General features: G+C 35.2%; 1 protein-coding gene and 1 long non-coding RNA gene across 11 annotated transcripts in view, besides 1 other annotated feature; one reads left to right on the forward strand and one right to left on the reverse strand.

Moving 5' to 3' along the window:
* HDAC2-AS2 (HDAC2 and HS3ST5 antisense RNA 2) overlaps nucleotides 1–26,997 on the forward strand; it is a 371,029-nt gene that overhangs the window by 334,470 nt on the left and 9,562 nt on the right. The gene's annotated exons all lie outside the window — the stretch shown is intronic.
* Nucleotides 1–26,997, reverse strand: part of HS3ST5 (heparan sulfate-glucosamine 3-sulfotransferase 5) — a 287,428-nt gene that overhangs the window by 248,575 nt on the left and 11,856 nt on the right. The gene's annotated exons all lie outside the window — the stretch shown is intronic.
* Nucleotides 15,404–16,143: an enhancer, noted in NCBI's record as "OCT4-NANOG hESC enhancer chr6:114640738-114641477 (GRCh37/hg19 assembly coordinates)". NCBI's record gives its function as "activates a minimal SCP1, AML or CMV promoter by ChIP-STARR-seq in naive H9 embryonic stem cells {active_cell/tissue: H9 hESC(naive)}" and the evidence as "EXISTENCE:reporter gene assay evidence [ECO:0000049][PMID:30033119]".

The following is a 26,997-nucleotide window of genomic DNA, read 5'->3' on the forward strand; positions in this document are numbered from 1 at the left end:
ACCTGCTACTTATAAGGAAGCAGTTAGAAAGATGAAAAAGATAATGAATTCTTTCTATATGGTATCATATATTAAGAATTTGTGATGTTTTCTTAAATATCTAATGTTGACATCATTTTCTCAAGCATACTAGGCACAAACACAATTATGAATGTAGGAAAAAAATCCTTCCATTTTGTTTAAAGGGCTACCACAGAAATAAAGCAGTAGTGTTCTCACAAAGCTTTGTGCTGCATAGTAAGTGCTGTGATTCTAGAACTCTCACATTTATTTTTCATATAAATTTTTAATGCCTCTATACAATACATTTATGTAAAATGGAAGCTCCCTCTAGTGGCAAAAGAAGCTTTATTTTGGATTTGAATAGCTGCTTCCAAACCACCCTGATTATATCAGCGATTCTCAAACTTTTTGGTCTTAGAAGCTTTTGTTTCATGTAGGTTTTATTTATTACTATTAACCATATTAGAAATTAAAACAGATTTTTAAAAAATCATTCATTTAAAAATAGCAAAAATGAACTCATTCCATGTTAACACATAACATTGTTATGAAAAATAACTGTCCTTTCCAAGCAAACAAAAACTGCAAGAAGAGATAGATTGTTTTATATGTTTGAAAAGTTCTAGTGTCTGACATAATAAATGACAGCTGGATTTTCATAAATGCTTCAGTAGTCAATCTTTTGCAAGATGTTTTGGTTGATGTATATTTTTAAAAGTTAGCTCTCACATAGACATAGAGTTGAAAAAGAAAGGAGTAATTGAATAGCTTTTTAAAATAGCTGTGGGTATTTTTCTTTAATACTACACCAAAACTTGACAAGTAATCATTTCTTAAAGATTAGTTGCAATGTGAAATCTGAAACCATATCAATGTACTCTATTACATTAAAATTCACTGGCCTATCTTTCACTTTGAATGGATCTCTTACTAAGCATAAATTTTACCATCATGTACTGGTCATTTTGAAAATATTGCACTGAGTTCTGCAGTTCTCCTAAATGTTGACATATGTCATTATTTAAAAATCATATTCATTAATATCACCACCCACCTCATCAGGAAAGTCTTTACATATTCAGAAGCAGTCATACTCAGAGTGGCATATACAATTTTCTAATACTTTTTTCTAATTCTAAAATTCAAGCTTTCAAGTAAAAGTTCAAATTTGAAAACAAATATTGTCAGTTGTTCTTTTGAAGTGACAGACTCACTATGTTATTTTTCAGAAAATGCATGTGAAATACCCAACTATGAATAATAGCAGCTTGACAGTTGTTCTTTCAAGTAAACATGATGTTCCATGAAAAAGTGGCTAGTTCAGCTAGCAACTCAAAGGACCCACATGAACTTTTCCTCAAGACTGCCCTTGTGCTTGGGTATGCAGTAAAAGTATCTTATGTGTACTTTTCATTTCATCACACAGATTATTAAAAAGACCATGCTCAAAAGTTGAGATTTTTACTGCTTCATCAAGGACACTCTTAAGAAAAGTTGCCTTCTCCTTCTCCTGTCTCTTCTCCTTCTCTTCACGTGAATATGTGGCAGTAAATAATACAATCAGTCTAGTGCCACTTAGATTTGATTCATGCTAAGGCACCAGCATCTTACTCACCACTGATTTTTGCACCATCAATACAAATCTCAACACAATGAAACAGACAAAGAGCACCTTAATATTATTATGGGACTCTCTTGACAGTGACTAGAAGATTTCAGGGGTCCATGGACCACAATTTGAGAAGCAGGATTGACATAATACACTGGACTACATAATGTTGAACTGAGAGACCAACTGGTTGGCATCTTGAATTAACAGACATAAACACTTAAGTTCAGAAAGTCCAAAGTCGCATTCCTGTACAATTACCATTGCATTCTGCCTCTAAGAAAGTGCTTTAAATTCTGGGAGTCTTTGCCTGAATGTAATTTTTTAAATAATTATGACTATTAAAAAATGTTCAACATATCCTTCTATTCTCATAAGGGTCCAAATTTCAGTTTAGTTTTTTTTCTCATTTATTCAGGGACTATTTAAGGCAAAGCTTCTGTAAATGAAATATACATATATATATATATATATACACACACACACACACACACACATATATATATATATAAAATATATATTCTTCATTCCTACAGCATCCTTAGGGGACATCTTTGGTCTTCTCATCCTTTATCTCTTAGTAAAATCATTTACATATAAATTATTACATATATATAATCTATAAGCAAATAATTTTTTCACTGGATTACAAATAGTATATAATTTTGACCTAGAATATATCTCAGAGCCAATTTTGAATTATAACATTACTAAAACATTGTTTTTTAGTGCTCGATATTATATTTATAGTAATTTTTCTAAAGTGTTTCTATATTTTAGCTGTGAAGTGTTATACATCAATGCAATTCTAGACTAAAAACATTCTCAATATTCTACAGGTTAAATAAAAAAGACACCTATGGATTGCTCTATAAGACACAGGTGTGGTTGCTATAAAAATAGCTATATGTGAAAGATACTATTTGAGTACCCAAGTTAAATGAAAGTGTATCAAGTGCTTTACAATCCAGAATCCAATAAGTTTAATAAAAGGATTAAGAAATCTAGTAAATCTTACCTATTTCTGATCTAGCTAGAAATCTGAATAACCAAGAGACTCCCCAAATGCTAAATATTTATTTCCTTCTTAAGAAATACATATAGGACATACGATCACTTATTTTTGTCCATTTCAACATCTATTTCTCCTGAACTTTGTTCTGACCACCTCAGTATAGGCAGTAGCAGCAGCGGGTGAAGGATCATGGGAGAACTGTGCACAATTAACGACAGTAGCAAGGGCAGCATGAACATCTTACTATATTCACTTCAAGCAAGGACTTCCAAATCATAATTAGAGAAAATGTGGATTTGGATTCCTTTATTGTTGATACAGAAGGCCCAAAGCCTTATGTTGTAAAACTGCAGTTTCCAAACTTTGTAGGCACTAAGAGGAAATTTACAACTTTGATTCTGAAACCTGTATGAGATTACCTAGGGCAGGTTTGCTAGGACATCCTCTTAGTCATTACTCACTTTACTAGTAGTTCATAATATAAAAGGCATTTCTCTGTCCTTCATGAGAAGAGCATAGGATGCCACCTTTGAAGTATGTATAGCACAAATATCCTTACTGTTTTTTTTTTTCCATCTAGTAATCTATTGAAAATTACACAGGGATTTGTGAGAACTAGGATAAAACCTAGTTTTTTTTTTCTTTAATAAGAAATGTCTAAGAATTTTATTGTTGTATTGCAATTTCATATAGAAACTAGGATAAAAATTGAATTCCTTGATGTCGGTCTAAAATAAGTTTCTGGAGAATCATGATAAAAAATAATTTTGATATTGAAGTGTGTATAAAGTAATGCATAACATACGCAATTCCTATTTTGACTTATCTCTTTGTAAAGGTAAGGGGTGGAAAGAATTTGCATTTAAATTTAAAAAGTAGATGAATTGGCGTTTACTAGTGAGATGTGATTTGCTTTCCTTTAATAGATAATAAAATATTGATAGCAATATAACCAAGAAAATTTGGAATATGACCGTTTTAATTAATATCAATGTGAGGTGAATTAAAATTTCTTATCAATATATTATTATTTACCAGTTTCATATTGTTTTTTGATTGAAATGATTTGGGAGTTTTGATTAGTCTGTATATATAATGCTGCTCAAATTTATAAGATAATTACTCAATGTGCAATATTAAGACTGATTAGTAAAATACCTAATGAGTTGTGTCATATAATGAATGCTTAGAAATTGCTTTAGGAAGCAGATAACAATATATTAATTTGGAAATAAAATTTTTATACATTGACATTGTTCACAGAGAGAAAATAAGTAATTAATAGACTACTCTTCAAGAAAAACAGAGAAAAATGATCATTGTAAATGACTATTAAAATATTTAAGTTGAACATCTATATACTAGTAAGTTTAGGAATATCTTAAGCATAAATTGAATTTTAAAAAATTATCTCTGGAGCATAAGTCTCTTAAACTTAATATTCTTGTACTTATTTGACCCTCCTACATAGCAGAAAACAGTGTAGTTTAAAACTAACTAGATGGTGGCAGGGCGCGGTGGCTCATGCCTGCAATCCCAGCACTTTGGGAGGCCGAGGCGGGCAGATCACGAGGTCAGGAGATCGAGACCGTCATGGCTAACACAGTGAAACCCCGTCTCTACTAAGAAATACAGGAAAATTAGCCGGGCGTGGTGGCAGGCGCCTGTAGTCCCAGCTACTCGGGAGGCTGAGGCAGGAGAATGGCATGAACCCAGGAGGCGGAGCTTGCAGTGAGCCGAGATCACACCACTGCACTCCAGCCTGGGTGACAGAGCAAGACTCTGTCTCAAAAAACAAAAACAAAAACAAAAACTAACTAGATGGCTCACTGAACATTTGAGTAGAGTACAAGAAAGAATAGCTCTTTCACTGTTGACATAGACCTGTAGCTCATGAAATGCCTCTGACCCCCTGAACTGCCCCAGCACCCAGTCCCAGGAGGAGGTGAAAACCAGACCAGGTAAGGAGAAATGAGTGAACAAATAGATCAGTAAGGTGATTCTCTTGACAGCTCCCTGCATGCCAACAAAACCCTGAAATGCCCATAGAAACATTTCTCCTCCCAAGTTGGTGAGACACAGTTGTCCTTGATGGCAGGTGCTCTCAGAGCCAAGCAGGTATGAAACAAGAGAAGGATGATGTTCCCTTCAGACTAGGCATCATGTTAACCGGCAACTAGGAGGCAAAAATGAGAACTGATCCCGTAAGTCATTGGTACTTAAACTGTAGTGAACATCATACTCATCTGGGACGTCAATAATATAAAATACAGAGTCACACTTACAGAGATCCAGATTTAGAAGAGATAGGGCCAGGAAAGCCCTTTAACAAGTAACCTAGGGGATGCTGTTGAAAGTGATTTCTTTGACCACACTCTAAGAAATCTTTTCACAGAATACATATGAGCACTCAGGGACATAAAGTCTCTAAAAGGGTGGTAGGCTTAAATAACCGAAATTTGTAAAATACTTAAAGTACAAATAGAGTTGTCCAGAAGAGATTTAAGCAGTAATAGGTAAAAACCTCTTACTATGTGAGGGACTTGTCAATAAAACACATCCACCTATTTCTAAAATGTTACCCAATATAATGAATTCAGTAGTAACCACAGGTTGAAAATATTAAATATCCTGGCCAGGTGTGGTGGCTCACACCTATAATGCCAGCACTTTGGGATGCCAAGGCAGGCAGAGCACTTTTGAGGCAGGCAGAGCACTTGAGGTCAGGAGTTCGAAACCAGCATGGCCAATATGGAGAAACCCTATCTCTATTAAAAATACAAAAATTAACCGGGCTTGGTGGTGTGCATCTGTAATCACTGCTACTCAGTAGGCTGAGACAGGAGAAATGCTTGAACCCAGAAGGCGGAGGTTGCAGTGAGCCAAGGTTGCACCACTGCACTCCAGCCTGGGCGACAGAGTGAGATGCTGCTTTGTCTCAAAAACAACAAAAAAGAAAACATTAAATATCCTTTTGTGTTAAATTTTTTAAATATGAGAAATAAAACACTGAAAAATATAGTACTACATTTGTCTTTGGGCCAAGATTGTTTCACATTCTAAACAGAGAATTAAGTTTGCACTAAATATTGCCTGCCAGGGCTCTTTTCCAACTTTGATTTCATAAATATAAAGTACATCTAAAGAAAAAGTATCTATATTTACGTATACTTTCAAACATGCCTTTCATTAAGGTCTTCAGGGTAATGTGCAGAGAAAAAGACCTATGATTCAATGGAAGTGAGCAGTAAACTTGCTCTCTCCAATATATTGTACTGGACAAGGAAATGATGAGTCCATGATGGAATGATGGGGGAAAAAATTAAACTCATAGTCCTCACAGAAGACTTAGATTTAAATCCAAACTAAAATTCTCCTATCTGAAATATCTTTCAAATGTTATAGTCCCGAGTAGGTGGCAAGCTCCTCCAGGATGCTCAGTACATTTATTGCACAATAGCTACTCAATAAATGAATGAAAACGTGCCTTTACTATATGCCAATGGTCAGGGAGAGGTAGTTGTGTAAGAAAAGGTTTGGGATTCTAGATTTTTTTTCAGAGAGATATGAAAACAAATAATTATGCTTATCTGTAACTTATTAAGGACTCCAGAGCAAGAAATTCCTATTAAAATGGCATCTTAAGTTCTCAAATTCAATTGTATTATAAACGGCAAAAACTTCAAAAACGTTTTTTTGTGGAAAAGACTTTATTTACTCACCAAATAGCTTTTTTTTTTTCCTGCTAGGAACCTAGGAAGTCTTTTATTTTTTTCAGGCCTTTTGCATCTAGGTAGAGACCTGTGCACAATGGATGTTTGTTGTATATAGATGCTCTTTGACTTGCAATAGTGGTTATGTCCCCAAAAACTCATGGGAAGTTAAAAATATCTTATGTTGCTCATTTTCACACCATCGTAGAGTTGAAAAATCATTAAGTTGAACCTTGATAAGTAGAGAACTGTCTGTATATGTTTAATTAATGATATGATTATATTCCCCGACGATTTTCAATGATAGAAATGTGTAACAGAATATTCCATCTACTTTCACATATGTAAACTCACTTAAGGCCTCAAAATCCCCTGGAAAAGCAAATAGAGTTTGGCAACTTTCTGGTTTACTTCCAGATTATAAATGTTCCAATAGGTTGAATATGCTAATATAGCCAATGTCATCAAGATTAAGTTCAGGCTCAAGAATAAATACATTAAATAAACAAAGAAACGTAACTACCAATTTTATTCATTGAAACAAACAGTCTAACAATCAGATAAGAATGCAAAATTATACCTACCAGGCTCTTAATCATAGCACTGTTAATAATGACAAAAATAAAAACAAAACAAAACAACAACAAAAATATTTGTAATGAACATTACTGGGAAGTGGTTAAACAAGATGTATTACTTTCAAATAATAAAATCTGATGCTATTCGACCTTCATTTACTAAGATATAGAGATCTACAATGTTTTAAGGAAAAGAATGATATTTAGAATATGTTTCCATTTTGGTCCTTGTGATTGTATATTTGGAAGAATATATACCAATATGTTAAGAATGCTTATTCTGAGTAGAACGGTTATGGTTGATTTAAATTACTCTTTATGTTTTCCTATAACTTCTCAACTTTTACAAACAAACATATTTCCATCACAATATTAAATATAAAGCTATTTTTAAATTGTTACCACTTAAAATGAAATTTAAAGCAACATATTTTCTTTCTTTCTCTCTCTCTTTTTTTTTTTTTTTTTTTTTTTGAGACAGTCTCACTCTGTCACACAGGCTGGAGTGCTATGGCACAATCTCAGCTCACTGCAACCTCCGCCTCCCAGGTTCAAGCAATTCTCGTGCCTCAGTTTCCTGAGTAGCTGAGACTACAGGCACGCAACACCACACCCGGCCAATTTTTATATTTTTAATAGACACAGGGTTTCACCATGTTGGCTAAGCGGTTCTTGAACTCCTGACCTCAAGTGATCTGCCTGCCTCGGCCTCCCAAAGTAATGAGATTACAGGCGTGAGCCACCGTGCCCAGCTGCAAGGAAGATATTTTCAATGGTCATAACTAAATCAATGCATAATTTCATAATTTACTATGCATTTCATTATTTCAGTCATTTTACTTTCAATTTAGCATTCTGCTTTGAAAGTTGGTAGTATTTTAACTACCAACTAAGTATTTTAACTATGAAATGTTCTCCATTAGCAGATTCACCTTTCCAATGAAGTAGAGTTCTACCTAGAGCATTCTTGTCTTTTCTTTCCTCTAGCTGAATTTAGGCAAAACTAATACATATATTTAGACTAATACTAAATTCTCCAGGAATATTTGGATTTCATGTTACTATGTTTCCAAGTGAACATTATCTAATAGAAGCTCTGGTCAAAATCTAAGAATAATGGAGAAGAGTCTTAAACTTTTAAAACAAAACTAGTGTAAATTATTTTAGAAAATTAAAAACTGATGCTTGTCTGAAATTTCAACAAATGTGCTGGAACAACTGGATATACAAATGGAAAATCAAAAAACAAAAACCATTGGCTTATACCTCACACCATATACCAAATATATTTATATCTAAATAGAAATGTAAAATACTTGTAAATATAAAAGCCAAAATTATAACACTTTTACAACAAGACACAAGAGAAGATCCTTGAGGTAGACAAGGGTTTCTTAGATCAGAAATAATAAATTAAAAACTTAAAAAATAAAACTGAGAAATTGAACTTCATTAAAGTTATAATTTCTGGTCTTCAAAAGATATTAGAAAATAAAGAAGACTTGTTACAGACTGAGAGAAAATATTTCTGATACATGTAATGACAAAAGACCTATATCCAGAAGTGGAAAAAAAATTCTTAAAGTTGAATGATAAAATGAAAATAAACCCAGTTAAAAAGAATTGAACATATAATTCATCATCAAAGAATATATACTCAGCCGGCCGTGGTGGCTCATACCTATAATCCCAGCACTTTGGGAGGCCCAGGTAGGCAGATCACTCGAGGCCAGGAGATCAAGACCAGCCTGCAACAACGCTGAAACCCCATTTCTATTAAAAAATACAAAAATCAGCCGAGCATGGTGGTACATGCCTATAGTTACTAGGGAGGCTGAGGTGGGAAGATCACTTCAGCCCAGGAGGTTGAGGCTGCAATGAGCCATGATCATGCCACTGCACTCCAGCTTGGGTGAGAGAAAGAGACCCTGCATCAGAAAAAAAAAAAAAAAAAAAAAAAAAAAAAGATACACTAGATACACTCACGGCCAATAAATGCATGAAAACATGCTCAATATTAGTCATCAGAGAAATGAAACTTAAAACCACAGTGAGAGATCAGTTTACACTCATTAGCAGGGTAATTGTTAAAAATAACAACAACATACCAACAATACCAAGATATTGGAGATGATGTGGATGGAACGACTGGAACTTACGTTTCTGGTGGGAGTATATCACACTGGAAAACAGTTTGATAGCCTTATGGAGATATACCGTACATGCAACCCAGTAATTCCAGTCCTAGGCACTTGCTTACAATAAAGAAAAACGTGTTCACAAAAAGATCTGTACAAGAATATTCACAGCAGCTTTGTTTATAATAGCCCTAAACTGTAATCAACCCAAATGTCCAACAACAGGTGAAGGGATAAAGAGTTGTGGTATGTCCATACAACTGAATACTATCCAGCAATAAAAAGAAATGAAGTAATGATATACACAATGAGCTGGCTGGATTTAAAAATAAATACTGTATAATTTCATTTAGAAATGACGTTCTAGAACAGGCAACACTAATCGATAGTAATGAAAATCAGATCAGTAGTTTATTGGGGAGGAGGTGGTGGGAATTGCCTGCAAATATACAGGAGAACTTTCTGGAGAGATGGAAAAAAATGTTCAATATCTTGATTGTGGTGGCTGTTAAATGAGTACATAGATTTGTCATAACTCAATGTATACTTAAAATAGGTGCATTTATTGTATGTAAATTATGTATCGATCGAGTAATTAAAATCAGATGCTTGGATATGAGAATTAGAAATAAGGAAATTCCTTGCATCAGGATCATCTGGAGTGCTTCTTTAACTAGATTGTTGGATCTAACCCCCATTTTGTTTGTTTGTTTGTTTAAGACAGAGTCTCACTCTGTTGCCCTGGCTGGAGGGCAGTTGTGCAATGTCAGCTCACTGCAGCCTCTGCCCCCCAGGCTCGCGTGATTCTCATGCCTCAGTCTCCAGAGTAGCTGGGATTACAGGCATGCCCCACCACGCCTGGCTAATATTTTGTATTTCTTTGTAGAGATGGGGTTTCGCCATGTTGGCCAGGCTGGTCTTGAACTCCTGGCCTCAAGTGATCCACCCGCCTCGGCCTCTCAAAGTGCTGGGATTACAGGTGTGAGCCACTATGCCAAGCCCCAATCCCCATTTCTGATTCAATAGGTCTGGAGTGATGTCTCAGGAATTTACATTTCTAACAAATTATCAGGTGACACTGAAGTTACTGGTCTAGACATCATACTTTAACAACCACTACTTTAGACATAGACACAAATGATTCCTAAGCTAAGACATTATACAGAAGAATTTCAGTTGCAGCCAAGATAGCCTTGCTGCAGTTCAATATGGAGCAAATGTTGAAGTTGAAATCCATATATATGCCTCTCAATTTAATGGTTAATGAAGTTTAACGTTTGGAGTAATTTTTTGAAAAAACAAAAATGAGCTTTATAGTTGCTTTCATAGGCCCAAGAAGTCCCTGAAGTTCATAGAAAGAGCTGGCAAATCCTCAAAAATAAAACACAGTTCTTTTGTGTGTATGCTCTTTTTTTCCTCTCTGGAGATATGGCCAGGCTTTCATCAAATTTTCAAGTGAAAATGATCAAAAAAGATTAAGAAACACTAAAATAACTTTAGGAGTATCCTTTCAGCTTTAAATTTTCATTTACATCTGTTTTCTTCATAGATAAACAGTAGGTACACATGAAAGCTTACAACTTCATTTTTTATTTATGCTGAGCACTCAGAAGTTTTAGATTTAAGACTTGGCATAAATATTATGTAGGTCACTAACTGTGAAGAGGAATGAATAAGGGTGCACCATTAAAATAGTAACAAGTAAAGAGAGGGCTTCTGAGAGTTGCAAGACATTCTAGAAGTACAATTTTTTTAAAGTAAGATTAAAATTAACATAGTCTTAATTTTATGTTATTGTACCTCCATCATCCTCCACCATTTCTAGTTCCAATGTAATTAAAGCAACAAGTATTAATGTAGAATTAATAACTATAGTATGTGGCTTGGGTAACACAGGAAAAATAGAGCCTTTGTGGATATAAGAGCATTTTTATTTGTGCAAATAAATTTTCATGTGTGGAATATGTAAACATGAATGGTTAGGATTATTTTATACCTATTTTAGCATTATTTATAAGCATTTTAACAGAACTGCTGCACATATTAGAACATGGCACATCTATTTGTTGTCCATCACATTTCTTTTTATTCCGTGCAAATATAAAAAAGATATATTTTCAGTCTTCTGCCTTTGTCTGATCTGTATCCTAAACACATATTTAAGGGGTGGTTTTAGTCTTTCAACAAACTACTAGAAACTTTGTTAAATGTATTTTAATAAAATAGAAAAAATTGCAAACAATCATAGAGCTTAATGATCAACAGATTTAGTAAGCAGATTTAGTATACATATTTTAATCATTTCATCTGAGAAACAATAGCACACATATTTTATTACAAATATGTTAAAAGGATTCTTCAAATATGTAGTCCACTGACTGATGTTTTGTGACTTAGAGATGCACAGAAAACAATTTGATTATAAAATATTATGACCCCTACTAATTCTTTCATGCTCTGTTTTATGAAAAGATTGGACTTTCTTTTTTCTGTATGCTTTTCAACAGGTTATAGACATATATGTTCACAGTCTAGATACCATATGTACACTAAGTTCTTCAGGAAGAGAAAAAATTTTTTTTCTTATCTGCACTTTGTTTTCTCTCCCACTTTAAAATCTTTGCATAAAATCACCTTGCAGAGTGATATTCTTTACTCTCTCTCTTCTTGTCTGAGTTGTTGCTAACAGCTTTTAATTTGGGAAGTGTATCTCTGAGTTTACTGCGCCTCACTGGTTTCAGCTCAATTGTTTCTCTAGCCAGCAGAGCATTTCATTTCTTCTGAAGGTCACCACAAGCTGCCAAGGCTTTGAAAACATACCATCTTTTCATTCATGCTGCAATCTAACCCTGCAGTGCCATTAAGAGAAGCGGAAGCAGGCATGTGACTTTTTCTATCAACAATTATTGAATTTATTGTAATATAAAGTGAATTAGGCCATCAGTGAGCAAGGATCCTCCATAATGCCACCTTTGTTCAAGACTGTAGAAATTATTTTTTGTATTTTAGTAGTCTGTCTGTGTATAGATAATTATTTGTACAAATTATACCAAAATGTCATCTGCTTTTGGAAGTTACTCTTCCAACCATATCACTACCGGTTGCAATAAACCAATGATGCAGGAAGCTGTCCCGATCTAAGGACACTCATAAAACAAACACCACATTGGCCATCTGTTGGAGGAGGGATGGCATTCAATGTAATGTGTGCCTGGAACACATCCAGTATTGTTTATTCTGTCACATATCAGATGAGCACTGAAATCAAATTGATGATTTTTTAATTCCAAGGGGACAAGAAATGGAGAACAGAGGAGATGATTCCAGATATACGCAAAAGTGTTCAAGTGACAACATGATCCAAAAAGTGAAAAAAAATTAATAAAAGCAAAGGAAGAGTAACTCACATTATACTTGCCAGATATTTACACTCTTGGGCTAACAAAAAAGCATTTCAATATTACTTTTATGTTCTACAGTTAATGCTGCTAGAAAAAACCAAAACCTTCCTAGATGAACAAGTCAATTGAATCAACAGCACAAATTATTTTAAAGATTTTAAGGGCAACAACAATTTTTCTATATTTTAGATAAGATTAAAATGTTTTAGATTATTGAACATGCCAATGTTTTAGATTAGCTTCTCTGAAAGAGGTGAGCTGTGAATCATGAATGTTTTTTGTTTGGTAGGTAGTGGTTGTTATTTTCAGGTTCTGAGGCAATGAAATTGTTGCATAGCAGTTACACAGTTAGTTAGAAAAATAAAATGAGATTTTCCTTTTAAAAGCAAATTATTCTTCTATGTTTTAATGGGAAACTCACTGAAGTTTGATTCAAAGCTCTGATTTAATATCTTAGATTTTCCAATTATCAGTGAGGAAACTTTGTGCAAGTAATTTAATTTCCCTGATTCCTGGTTTCCTTAAGATGTAAAAATATCAAATGTGGAATTTATGTCCAACGTCCCCCTAAAAGCTAAGTCACTGTGAAAACATAAATAATTTTATTTTCAGTTTAGGTAAAATATATAGGTCAATCTTGGAGGAAATACCCATAGGATTTCTCACATTCTCATGTAGAAGTGCCCTTTTCCTCCCCAAATGATCTCCGCTTCCTGCATTACTAACAAGGGTAATCGTTAACACACTTGGAGTAAACGGATGCATGTAGTTCCAGTATCCAGATGTCCCTTAAGAATGAGGTGCTAACTGAAATGTGAAGGAATTCTATAACAGTCTTAAAATCACAATAAGGAAAATACTCTTTCTTCTGGGTTTGGAGCCATATCTATGGATATAATATTTAAATAGTATATTGTAATTTTTTTATTCTTTGACATTTAATGAAAAATACATTTCATACATCCATCTGTTTATTTAGTAGATATTTATTGAGTACCTATAGTGGTAGGTTAGGCACCTACCTAGCTGTGAACAAAAGTAACATGGTGCCTGCCCTCGTCATGCTTATGCTTTACTTTGGGGAGTGACACCAACATCAGGTAAACTAAATTATTCCACAAATGGTCCTAAGGGCCATGAAGGAACCATAAGAGTAATGATGGGAGGCGGGGGGCGGGGGGGTAGGCTGGAGGGCGGGAAAAAGTTATGAGGCTTATTTTAGACAGGGTGGCTAGCGATCTGACTACCCCATCATCAAAATTACATTAAAACACACACATCAACAAGAGAAAATGGGATGTCCTCCTTAACATCACTGTTAATTCAAATACTCAAATTAGGGTACTTTAGTAAATAAAATGAGCTTTTCTCCACTTGAAAGTTGGAACTCTTAGCTCTTACGCATACAACTGGCGAGAGTTAAGCCCACTGTAGTGTGAGCAGATGCCACCCAAAGTCCCCTACCCTGACCTGCCAAGGCTTATTAATCTCCACCATTTAACACCTTGCTATTCATGGCTCTCTGTCCTGGAGAGTAAACTATATTCTGTCCACTTCATGTCCAGCCCATAATATAGGGTGACTAATTAGAAAAAGCTGTAATGTCTGCACCAGCCAGAAGCATAGGACATATATTTTTTTAACAAGTTCTTAACAATGCTTTAACTCAACTTCAATCCCTTCATTGATTTCAAAATCCATGTGGATTATCTTCCTAACTTATGTATCTACTCCTCACTGGATTGTTCAAATTGCTATTTTTTTCTCCTCCTCTCCCCTATTCTCAGGGATCTAATATCAGACTCTTTAAGTAGATTTTTTTTAATAACTGTCTGACAACAAAAGGTTGCCCTGGGCAAAATTATAATAGTAAAATATAGGTCATTGATTCTGCCCACTAAGGCTCTTCACAGCATTATTTCCTATTTCTATGTACAAATCTGTTCTCTTAAATTGCTTTTCCTCTAGCTCTTTATAATTAACTGAGTCCTACCCCATCTCCCTCTTGCAGGTTATACCCTAAGCCTAGAGCAACCAGCATCGTGATTACAAATAAGGTGTCAGCAGACTTGGGTTCAAATGCCCACTTGACCTCTCACTACCTACAAGATCATGGGCAAGTAAATGAACCTCTTGGGGAAATAGAAGCAGTTACCTTGTCAAGTTGTTATGAAGACTAACTAAAATATCAATCACTCAGCACTATGCTTGGACCTAGCAAGTGCTCAATGCCTATTAAGATTTTATAATTCCATAATCTTTTTTCTAAGAATGATTAAAACATCCCTTTTATTAGCTCCTATCAGCCCAAGGAGACACAAAATGTAGGTATTTCTATCATCTTAGCAGTTTTTTGTTTTGCTTTGTTATTTGTTTGCAAAAAACAAAACAAAACAAAACAAAAACAAACAGTGGATATATAAGACAAAGTGGATATATTTATCTAGATATATAAATTAAATATGCATCCAATTTTTATTTATGTGGTTTCTATTAAACATGATACAAGTTTACTTACATGTTTCTGATGATGTTATATATTCCAATCTCACAGAAAATATAAGAATTCAGAATGTTTAATTTTCTTAATTAATACATTTCTTTTGCATTATCCAATTTACATGCACCATTACACAACTTTATGATTTAGATAACTCCCCTCTTTTGGATTCAAAGATATTACTCCTGGGAATGATTCTACAGACAAATACTGCCTAGGAGAATAATTTTTATCTTGAAGTTTTTGGTAAACTTGACTCTTATATAGTACAGCTTCTGGTTACCAGCTGTCACTGCTATTTTCAAAGTCTATGGCTATGTCTTGCTGATGCCTTGTGAAGGCCATTTTGGAAGTCTTTGTTAAGGGGCAACATCAATTTCTCATCTTTTAATTCTACTTTTTTTCTCTTTTTTGGTACCCTGGGTACATATATCATAAGTAGCACAGGTGAGCAAATTAAAATGTTACTTTTCCAGAGAGTATAAATATCTTGCTTTTATACTTGACAGTTATTTTGGAAACCATTTCATATTTTAAAGTTCTATTTTATTTTTTCTTGTGATTGAATAATATTCCATTGTATGACTATGCCTTAATTTATTTCTTCTGTCCTTACAGAAGGACATTTAAGTTTTTCCCAGTCTTTTGCTACTACAAACAAGATTGTAATAAACATACTTTATTCCTTTGCATACATGTATGAGTACGTCTTTAAGTATCTGATACTATTTTTTTGTTGTTGTTGTTAGTGGCTCTACTATTATCCCAATTGGGCGTAGAGCCTCATTGCCTCTCTCATCCTTTTTCATAACAATGGACGGCACATCAAGTTGTTAGTTTTTCATTTGCATCCTTTTCTTTTGTAATCTTTCACTGGAGAGGAAGAAATAAGGATAATAATAATAATAATAACTATTAGAACTTGTTATTGAATGCATACAAGACATTCCCTAGAAAAATCTTAGAAATATTGGTGGTGGCATGAGTACTCTGTAGGTGACTGCACTGTTATTGGGACTCTACATACATTATCTTTAATTCTTACAATTAGACAGGGTGTATTTATTACATCCATTTTTCTAATGAAACTGAGACTCAGGTCGAATTAGTAATTTCACCAAAGTTACAAAGTTTAAGTATTAAAGCCACGCTAGGTGCCTCAACGCTCTAATTTCTAAACTTAGACTCTATCTTCAAATTTATAATGTCTCTCTAATGCATGACAGTCTTTATATGCTGATTCATTATGTCTTCCAAATCCTTCTGTATCTACTCAGTGTCCACTAGTTCAGGGGAGCTACTGAAAAACCTCCCAAAGTCTTCTTCCCTTCTATGATTCCTCTCACTGTCCAAATAACCTCACTCCCATATTAATTCGATTGCATCATAAGATAGCTCTTGTGATCTCTCTATTCCTATTTCACTATCTGCACCCACTTCTCTTGTCCCTCATTGATATGTCTACCATTTTGGTAGCAGTATCGGGGTGTAGGGGCTTTCTAACTAGGTATAAATGTAATGAGAAAGGGTGAAGGAAGCTCTGGCCAGGTAGAGGTCCCAGTCCCTTACATCACCTTAACCAAACAGCTTTATTTGTATCTGCTTTATGTGTAGGGGAGTTATTAATGTTTTATTTGAGAAAAATTTGCACAGCTAAAAACTAAACAGAAAACCATGAAATATTAGCTCCATAAGGACAGGAGTATTTTTTCTCTTTTGTTCACTCCAGTATTCTCAGCACCTATAATGGCAGTACATAGGAAGTGCTCTCTCTCTCTCTCTCTCTCTATATATATATATATATACATATATAATATATAAAGCCAGGGTCTCACTAGGTTGCCAAGGCTAGTCTCGAACTCCTGGCCTCAGGCAGTCATGCTGTCTTAACTTCCCAAATTTCTGGGATTACAGGCATGAACAGGCATATTTCTGGATGAACAAATAAATGAATGGATTTAATTAATTTTGGCTTCATCTAACTGAAACTTTGGGCAATTCACCCAACTACTATAAGCCTCTTTATATTTTTCCCTCATATAGAATGCTCCACTTCCGCCTAATAGCATTGTAGAGATTAAAAATATAAAAATACCTAGCACAGTGCCTGAAACATTCTGGCATTTGGGTTTATTGCTCCATCTATATCAAAAACGATTTGCTGTTTCATAAACCTACCTTTAGCTGAAATTTCCTGTCCTCTTTCCCTTTTAATTTTTTCTTCATTAATGCCATTAGAGGTGTTCTCAAGGTCTTTCTCAATTAGCCTGGTGAACAGCTCTGGCTCTGCCTCTCATTCATTATAAAACTCTTTATTATCCTGCTTGGGCTTAGCACTTTCTGGCTTGAGTTATTGCTCTGTGTTCCACATTCTCTGTAAGACTGTAAGCTGAAGAAGCTGGGGACTCCAATCCATTGCCATCTCTCAATAGTTGTTAACAGTGCAAGTTCGATAATGATAAAGATCTTTTAAAATACATGTAGCACAACACAATAATAAATGAAGGTTTTTTTCACTTACCCACATAAAAATGTTAATATCAACATAACATAAAGTCTACTTCAAAGTATTAGATTTGGTACAATATACAATGTTCTAGCAAAATATGCATGTCAATGTATCTTTTTACACATAGACACACACATATATCTGTGTCTGGCATTTGACTGTTTATCTGATTTTTGGCATTTGTCTATATCCCGTGATAAAGGAAGGTAAAGAAAAAACAGGCTAGTCTGACACTTTTTGCTCACTTAATAATTTAATAACTTGGTGACTTGATCTTTCCAATTAATTATTAAGATCATACTTATAAGAAGTGGAAAAGCCACTTATTTTCTTACAATCACTACTGAATTTACTTTTCTCCACACCATTTAGATTACCATAGTATGTGGCTTTTTTCATTTACACAGTTCTTGATAGCATACAGACTTTTCCTTGGCATGATAATTCTTGTTAGTAGCATTAACTACAAGTAATAGAATTTTTAGCCTTTCAGAATTTCTGTCACAAAGTCAGAGAAGAAAAATTCTACATGCCTGCAAATGTATTTCCTGCGCAACTGAAATATAAATGTGGTTTTAAAGTAGCAATATAATGCGTCTTTCAGAATGTGTTTATATTTTCAATTTGTTTTATCCTAACTCTCAAAATGAATAAGTCTGTGGTAGCCAACTGGCTTCAAAGTAGCTTAACCTTAGTTTTAAGACCATACTAAAAATATTGTCTGCACAACCTTTCCTAATCAGGTTTGAAAGAGACAGGTGGGCCTGCTTTTTCCTTGTACTGTGTTTATGGTTATAATCTACATTTGCTCACATAACATATTAAAAAAAATCAGCTGCAGAACTGACATCAGAGAAAGTGATTCCAAATTCTAAATATATATTCTAAATTAAAAAAGGTAACAGTGAAGCCTATAAATTCCCTGTTGATAATGACCAAAATCCATTTAAGCAAAAGTAATAAATGTGAAGAAACCTGTTTGTGAAAGGACAAGAATCCTGGAGGTCATTTCTGTAGAAGCTGCTAAGGTAGCACTTGAGAAAATTCCTAAGAGCTTATTTCCTTTCTTGCCATCTATAATTCCCAATCTCTCTGAAGGTTTATTTCACTTACCCACATAAAAGACTAGCTATATTACTGCGATATGGCAATGCATGCATACCTAATAGTATAGACAGTATTAAACTTCACAAATATTTGCATCTCCACCCGGGGGTAGGAAAATTATATTTCCTTGCTTCATGGATGTCAGATTTGACCATAGGCATTGATTTGGCTAATAAAATGAACACAGTGACTTGTGTCACTTTCAGAGGAAAGCATTTAGAGCCAGTGTGTCCTTAGCAATGATCTCTTTTCATTCCTGATAAATGCTGCTCTGCTGGTCGGGGACTTAAAGTGCAGACTTGGAGTGGAGTTTCCAACTTGCAATACACACATAGTGGGAGGGAGAAATGAATCTTTAAAGTCTTAAGCCATTGAGACTGGTCATTTGTTACCTCAACATAATGTAGCCTATTGCCAACTAACAAATGTGATAAGGAGCCATGCCCCAGAATGAAGGGAGACTCTTTTACCTAGAAGGTAGGAAGGAAGAAAACATAAAGCAGGATTAGTATTCAGATTAGAGAAAGATAGCATATGTAAAACTGCCTAGTGCATATTTAATGATATGTAAAATTATTAAAGGATTAAGGAGGACTCATTTTGGGATGATTTTTATGTGTTGGGGGTGATACAGGTAAAATAATTAATCTGTTCATACCAATAGTACAAGGGTGCTTACATTTTATCCTCAAAAATCATTGTAACCCTTAGTTGACAGTATGATTGGTGGCAGGGATCATGAAATTTTGGCAGGAATCAGAAAGATAAGGAGTTCAAGTCCTATCTCTTCCTCTTTTTAAATGTTCAACTTTGAATAATTTAATTTAAGCCGCAATTTCCTCATCTGTAAAAGTATAATGTGGAGGCTACCTCATAGCATTATTATGAAGATAACATATAATGCATGTTACGGGTTTAATATGGTATATGATGTGGCATACAATGTGTATTCAACCAGTACAAATCTCATTATGCACATTTAGTTTATACTTTCCCACTCAGTAAATGGAAAAATAAAGTATACAGAGTTATCCGGGGTATAAAGCTATAGAGTATTGGTTTCAGGTTTTGGATCTTAATTTGAGACAGGGTGTTTCGAAGATTCTCAAAAGGCAAACACAGTTTTACCTTTAGGGCCAAAGAGGCCTGGGAGGCTGTTTTAAAGGAACACTGAGTCAGAGGGTGAGTAGCTGTGCTGTTTCCTTCTGTTAACAAAGACATTTTGAGAAGACCCCTGCAGGGTCTTCTTCCCCCTGCTGGGGGACACTGGCTTCTTCCTGTCCTTTCTTAGATTCTGAGAGTATAAGATTCAAGAGGAGGAAGGTGAAGGTAAATACAACCTAACAGAAAAACTGCTATGTATTGCTATAGTTATTTTTGCACATATAATGTAACTACATAAAAATGCTTACCCACTGTGGTTCCCTTTTAGACAACAGGGCTGCCAGGTGCCATTGGCACCCAATTTAGTGACTGGATAAGAAAAATCAGAAAGCTTCTAAATTCTAGATAATGTGAGAGAATTAAAACTGTGTTCCCTTTAATATCTTTTCCAAAAACTGTCATCTCTAACTTGGCCTTAGAGGGACAAGTAGTTTCTTACGTGAGCAGGTTTCTAGTTTCAGCTCATCACTTTTCTTCATCATTTACACATGGCTTTTGACTTTCAAACATGGTACCATAGAACAAAATCCTTGGACCTAAAACATTTTGATGCAACATTAGCTTGATGACTCTGACTCTCAGTTTTAAAAAATGAATGACCTTCTCCCCGAATTATTTAATCATTATATAGGGTGGGATGTATTCTCTGTTTTCTTGCAGATCAGTGTCCATCAACATAAATTCCCTTGTGCATATGAAGTGTCACTTGTCAGTTATTGACTTGTTTTTATGTTCTTTGCCTCTTCAAGCCAAAGCCTATTTCAATTTATAAGACAACTGGTCTAGATGCACAAAGTCTATCGGTACCATCACTGTATAGTGGTGTTCTGAAAGCAGACATTCAACCAACATATTCAGGTGCATTCAGATGGACCAGGGATGGGCTCCACAGGTCTGAACTATCACTTATACATCTGTAGAATCACTGCTCTTAAGGTTTCTAGTGATTCCAATTGCGGATAACGTGTCTCACTCCACTTAAGGGATATTACAGCCTAAGACAACTTTAGTCCTGTGACTGGTTAATAAAGTACTGTCAAACTAGGAAATGATTATACTTGCAGGAAATGTCTACAGTTAGTTCCAGGCCAATAATCAGGAGAAAGAAACATTTAAACAAAGATTCTAAAAAATCCTTAGGATTGGCTTGGTGTAGAAAGTGAACATTGACTGCATCAGTTGAATCTCCCAGTTTCTGAATGAATGAATTGCTAGGTTTAGCATGAGCAGAGGATTTGTTTATCATCTTCAGTAAGAAATTTGGCTTGAGGCTGAGACCCAAACCTCATCAACTTGGTCTTAAGACCAAGACTCCATCAACTTGTTGGGGTTAGTTACTCAGTCACAATTGATGAAGGGTTAAAATAATAACCTATTTAGACCACAAAAGAGGTCTAGGCTTTATGGAAAAGGCTGTTCCAGTTTAAAATATGGAAAAAGGTATTCTAGCCCAATATTGATCAAAATTAGATAACTTTCAAAAACATGTTAGGACAGAACATGATGAAAGTGTTATTTCTTTGTTAAGGTGGGTTGGATTTGGCAGATAGTATTGTTAGGTGTCTGGAGAGAAAGATAGATTTGGGATATAACTGTTGAACATGTGAAACATACATAGAGATGAAGAGAGGTGTCTCAAGGAGTTTTCTTGCATCCTAATATTCAAATTACTTGTATATTACTTTTCCCTGCTAAACTAGTGTTTCTCCAACTCACTGTTAACGCAGGTTTTAAGATAAACACACACACAAAAACAAAACAAAACAAAACAAAAAGGGAAAAACAAACCCACTCAGTTTTATGCAGGCATACATGATCCTGGCAAGTTTTGCTAAATTATTTTCTATTTAGAGTTACTAGATGGATCTCAAGGTTTACCCCCTCCTGGAAGCATTTTCAGACCCTTTTCCCTCACAACCTCTTTTCTGTTCCACTGCTCTTCTCCCATGCCACCTCATATACCTATGATTTCATTCAACAAGTATTTATTGAGCACTTACTCTGTGCCAGGCAATATTTTAGCATGCTTAGGCTATGTTGGTGAACAAAAATTCTTGCCTTCAGTGGAGTTTACATTCTTGTTGATGAGAGGGGAGAAATTACAAGGAACTACCCCTTATTTAAATTGCAATGCAATAATTTACTTTCTCACCTGACTCCTTGAAGCCAGAGGACTGTGTTTTATCTCTATTAAAAAAGTAGGCCCACTGGGCCTGGTGGCTCATGCCTATAATCCTTTGGGAGGGTGAACTGGGTGGGTCACCTGAGCTCAGGAGTTCCAGACCAGCCTGGGCAACATGGCAAAACCCCATCTCTACTAAAAATATAAAAAATTAGCGGGGCATGGTGGTGCATGCCTGTAATCCCAGCTACTTGGGTGGCTGAAGTACAATAATTGCTTGAACCTGGGAGATGGAGTTTGCAGTGAACGGAGATCACGCCACTGCACTCCAGCCTGGGTGACAGAGTGAGACTCTGTCTCAAACAAAACAAAACAAAACAAACCAGTAGGCCCTCAATAAGTATTTGCCTAATGACTGAAACAGGAATGACAATATTACAAGTGAAAGATATTCCTAAAAGACAATATTTGAACCTTTATTCCTCAGTACCAATTTATGAACTAGCACAGTAATTAGAGCAGTTGCATAGTAGAGTTTCCAACTTTATAGATGTAATTTTGGAAAGTTTTCTAGTTGAAATATTGAGTTGTCAAACATACTCAATTTCAGTGATCATAATACTTCTTTTTAGTCAATGCCCTTGAAGTCTTTAGATTTTTTTTCAGTGAAGAATCTTCTATTCAAGCACAAAATAAAAATAAATCTCTATTCTTAATAGGATTTAAACTTCAGAATATTATGAGACTCAGTAAGGCTTTAAATTTGTCAATGCCCTTGAATCCTGTAAACTTCTTTTTCAGTGAAGAATCTTCTATTCTAAAGCACAAAATAAAAATAAACCTCTATTCTTAATAGGATTTAAACATCAGAATATTATAAGACTCAGTAGGGCTTTAAATTTAGGGTGTTAGTGAAGCTTTGTGGTTTAATATTCAAAATAACTCTTAAATGGTCTTAACTGAATGCCCATTTGGATACTTACATTTAGTATCCACACAACTGCTGTTTCTTGGAATTTTCTTTGAGTAAAATCTCCTAGAATACAGATAAGCTCCTGACATTTTTTTCTTTAAATATCCTTGTTAGAATGATTAGTGTCTGCAAACAATGATGACACATTCTTTACCTTAAATACATTTATTTAGTGCCCTGTCTGGGGTTGTGAATACAGTTGGTGGTCATAATGTACTTGTAGATAGTGATAAGTATTAAACTAGTGGGTTGGCCATATCCTTTGTGGATTCCCCATTGTTTACCTGGCTGTGGGCTTTCACTATGCATCTTCCTTGTTCTTTAGCTATGTCCACTAGAGGGTGAGTGGGAGGGAGGAAGAAAAGACAAAAGAAGAAGTTTGGCAGATCTGCTGAACAGTTTGATGATGCAAATTAGTTTGAGGATCAATTTAGGATTTCTCTATTCATATTCATCTTGCCTCTTATTGCCATGGATACATAAGTTGATTTTTATGAATATAGCATTTATAATGGCAAATTACAAGATGGCAGTATATTATACAGAGTCTATTTTTACACCTTGAAAAATAAATGCCAACATCCAGATAACTTAAAACAGCATTGTGAAAACACGCTATATTATCCCAACAAACATAAGGTCCAGACATGCAACATCATTTTTTTTTTCAGACTTTTAGACTACCAGTAAATATTTTTGGAATTGAGTTCCATGAATGTGAGAAACTACATTAAGTTATAGGACTGGTTCTACTGATAATGTCACAATAGGCTGTTTATATATCTTGAGTAATATATTTAAATAATAAAAATAGCAAATGTCATTCAAGTCAAGAATTGCTAGTTTTAGTCATCTTCACAATCCTTAAAGTTAGCACCATCTACCTATGCATTATGGATTGATGATGTTGGAAAGGTGATATTGCTCAAGATATTGAATGTCTACGTGATGCTTGGAATTCCATCAGTATAGGCTCACACTTAGTAAGAACTGCCAGGTGAGAGAGATAGGGCAGTGGAAATGAAATAATAGAGGTAGGAGCAGATAAGTCAAGCCTTCTTATTGTAAAAAAGAATGGATGGAAATTGCAATCAATTGTAAAATTTAGAGTTTATATAAAATCCTAAATTTGATCACATATACTTTTTATGATATTCCATAAACTAGAGATGTGTATAGGGTTAAGTACAGAAGGTAAAGAAGAAGTGAAAAAAGGAAGGAAAGAAGGAAAGAAGGAAGGAAAGAAGGAAGGAAGGAAAGAAGGAAGGAAGGAAGGGTAGCGATAGTGTCTTTAATATAATCAGAAATTACTTATTTACAGGGATTAATTAATTTCTTTCCATCTGTGCCACCCAAACACCTCCATTCCTTCCTACCCATCACACACACAGACTCACAAACACAAAAACACTGACACACAATCCCAGAATGGGAACCAATGGCTGGCACTAGACTACTTCTCATCCTTGTACAATCTGCCTGTTTTCCTAAAAAAAGAAAAAGAAAAAGAAAAACACTTTACAGCTACTGTCTTTCTTTCTTTTTGTAAAACCATAGACACTCCCACGTAGCACAAGCTCAATTCCAGCCAAGCTGGGTGTGCTTTTAAATAAAGAAAACAGGTCTTCTAGCTCTGTGTTAGCAAAGTCACCTCTCACTGGCAGTGCTAACGCTAAACATGTAATAATACTTTATTGTCATGAGCAGGAATCTGCTTTGCTAATTAAATGCAGCTGTCAGTAATTACTACTTGTCAGTGTAATCTATTTTAGGGAACTCTACTTTGAATGATAAAAGATGGGCTTGATATTGAGAGGGTGGGATAGGCAAGGTGACTGCTTACTTCCCCAGATCAGAAACTCACTCTTTCTTATGATGAATGAGTACCTTTATTGTGATGATGTCTTATCTGAATTATTCTGTATTTCTTTAGTGCATGAGTCATAAAGTTTGAAGTTAAATAGTTTTTTTTAATATCTAAAATCTAACTGTCGCCCCTCTTTGTAATGCCAAGTACTAAGACTGTCGCAGAGTTGTAAATGCGTCATGATGGTAATTTGTAATAGATGATAAATCTATAAGAAAAGCACCAATAGTGAAGTCACTATAATCTCTACCATCAAATATTTAGTTCAGTATGAATGTACCTTCTAATTGCTGGCAAATTTGATTACACATAGAGGAGCATCACTTTGAAGTGGGGAGTAGTAACCATTCCTTGTATAACCTTTTTCACTGATATTCAACCAGGTTTTCTCTGGGAAAATGTTTAGATTTCAGTTTAAGACTTTGAAATTTGCAAATCAAAAGAAATTCATGGTGTTTGCATGTAATATTAATTTATCTAACTGATTCTGGTATGAACCTAAAACTCTGTAATAGCCTACATCTGCATGACTAAAAGCAATGTCAGGACAAGCATAATGCAGTCTGCTTTGCTCCACGGGATTGGCATTGGGACTGCCACAGAGGCTGGCACTGATTTCTGTGTCCAAGGGGAATAGACCTTTGCCCTCACCTCCCCTAACTTCTCTAACTTCTCTTGACATTTAAAATGAATGTGGTGGCAGTGGAAAGGGAAACTGGAATCTCAAGGAGTAAAGTGATGGGGTGATGGAAGGATCAACAAAAACAAAGTAAGCACAGCAGGAAGTATGAAGGAGGTTTGGCGCACAAGTAGCTTTTACCCCACTGAGGCTGAAAGACTTATCACACCCTCAGAGCATCCTGACTGCCTCATCCTTCTTCTTCCACCATCTGTTTTATATCCAACACTCCAATAGTCCTTGTGTGCTAGATAATTAATTATCTTGTTGTAGGTCTCAACAAATTTGGCAGCTACTCTTCTGAATACAGTACATTATTTAAATAGAATTAGTAATTTGAGTTTTTTGTCCCAGGAAGAAAGAAAAAAGTTTTTCAGATGGAAATAATGACAAAAAGTAGAACTACTTAAATGTATGTTTGAAATACAGTCGGCAAAAGACACACACTTGCATTCTTCTTCCTGCTACTCCCTCTTGGGTAAGAGATGCACAGTCCGGTGGGAGTGGTATAAATGTCCCCATTTCCATGACATAAATTCTCACTTCCTTTGCTGAGAAAATTTAGATTATTCCAGATTTTTTTTTAAATGTTTAAAATTCCAAGTGATCAGCATCTCAAAAGAAGAAAGAACACATTAAATAGACACCTTTAAAAAGTAGGGTTTATTGAAAGAAAAACCAAGAAAATAAACATGGATAATGGTTGGAATTCTGAATTTTTTTTACTTTTATGGGTCCTACCACCTCCTCCAATGCATTCCTAAATGGCCTGTAATATGCTGAACTGTCTTTTGTATCAATGAATGAAGTTCTTAGAGTACAGTAGTTGCTCGGTAAATAGCTGCTGAATGTAGGAGCAATGATTCTGAGCTATTATCATGATATTGAGTTACTGTCATGTTTCCTGCTACCCACTCCAGCTAGATGAAGTGAGTGGGGGATGCTTCACAGCAAATGTTTAGGCAGCAGGGCCAAAGGTATGCGTCCAACCTTCTGGTTTAGTGATGGTTACAATGGGGAGAACATGGACCCTATTTCCTCACATGAGCATCCACAGGTTCCACCCAGCTCCACGCTCACAGAGGTCCCTATTTTCCTTTTCTGCACTGTACTCCCTTTATACATCAGTCTCCCTTTTTTCTACCTTGGAGAGCCAAGACCCCACTTGGTTCTCTTCTGAAACAATGAAGTCTTTCTCCTCAAGCCTACTGTAGGTATCTAGGGAGTCCTGGGTAAAACAAAGACTGCAACATGCGTCATTACCAGAATGTCTTCCCCAGCCTTGTGTTGGGTAAAAAAAGACAGGCTGATAGAAGGGGTCTTCCCAAACAGTAAACCACTGGCACAGGAAGGCAGCAAGCACCACATTAACCATATTTAGGACTTCATAACATTTTTCTCAGCATCATTATTAATATATCCCCTTTCAATTTCAAAAGTCTCTCAGTATGGATTGTAAGTCCTACTTTCAGCTACTTATAACACGTGTAAGACTTGTTCAGCTTTCCAACATTTCAATATTTTGGAATATTAAAAGTATGTAGGGAACTACCTGTAGACCAAGAATGGCTGATTGTTATTGTGATAGAATTAAGTCACAGTAAACCGCATGGTTGCAA

Source organism: Homo sapiens, chromosome 6 (assembly GCF_000001405.40).
Source record: "Homo sapiens chromosome 6, GRCh38.p14 Primary Assembly".
Taxonomy (NCBI): domain Eukaryota; kingdom Metazoa; phylum Chordata; class Mammalia; order Primates; family Hominidae; genus Homo; species Homo sapiens.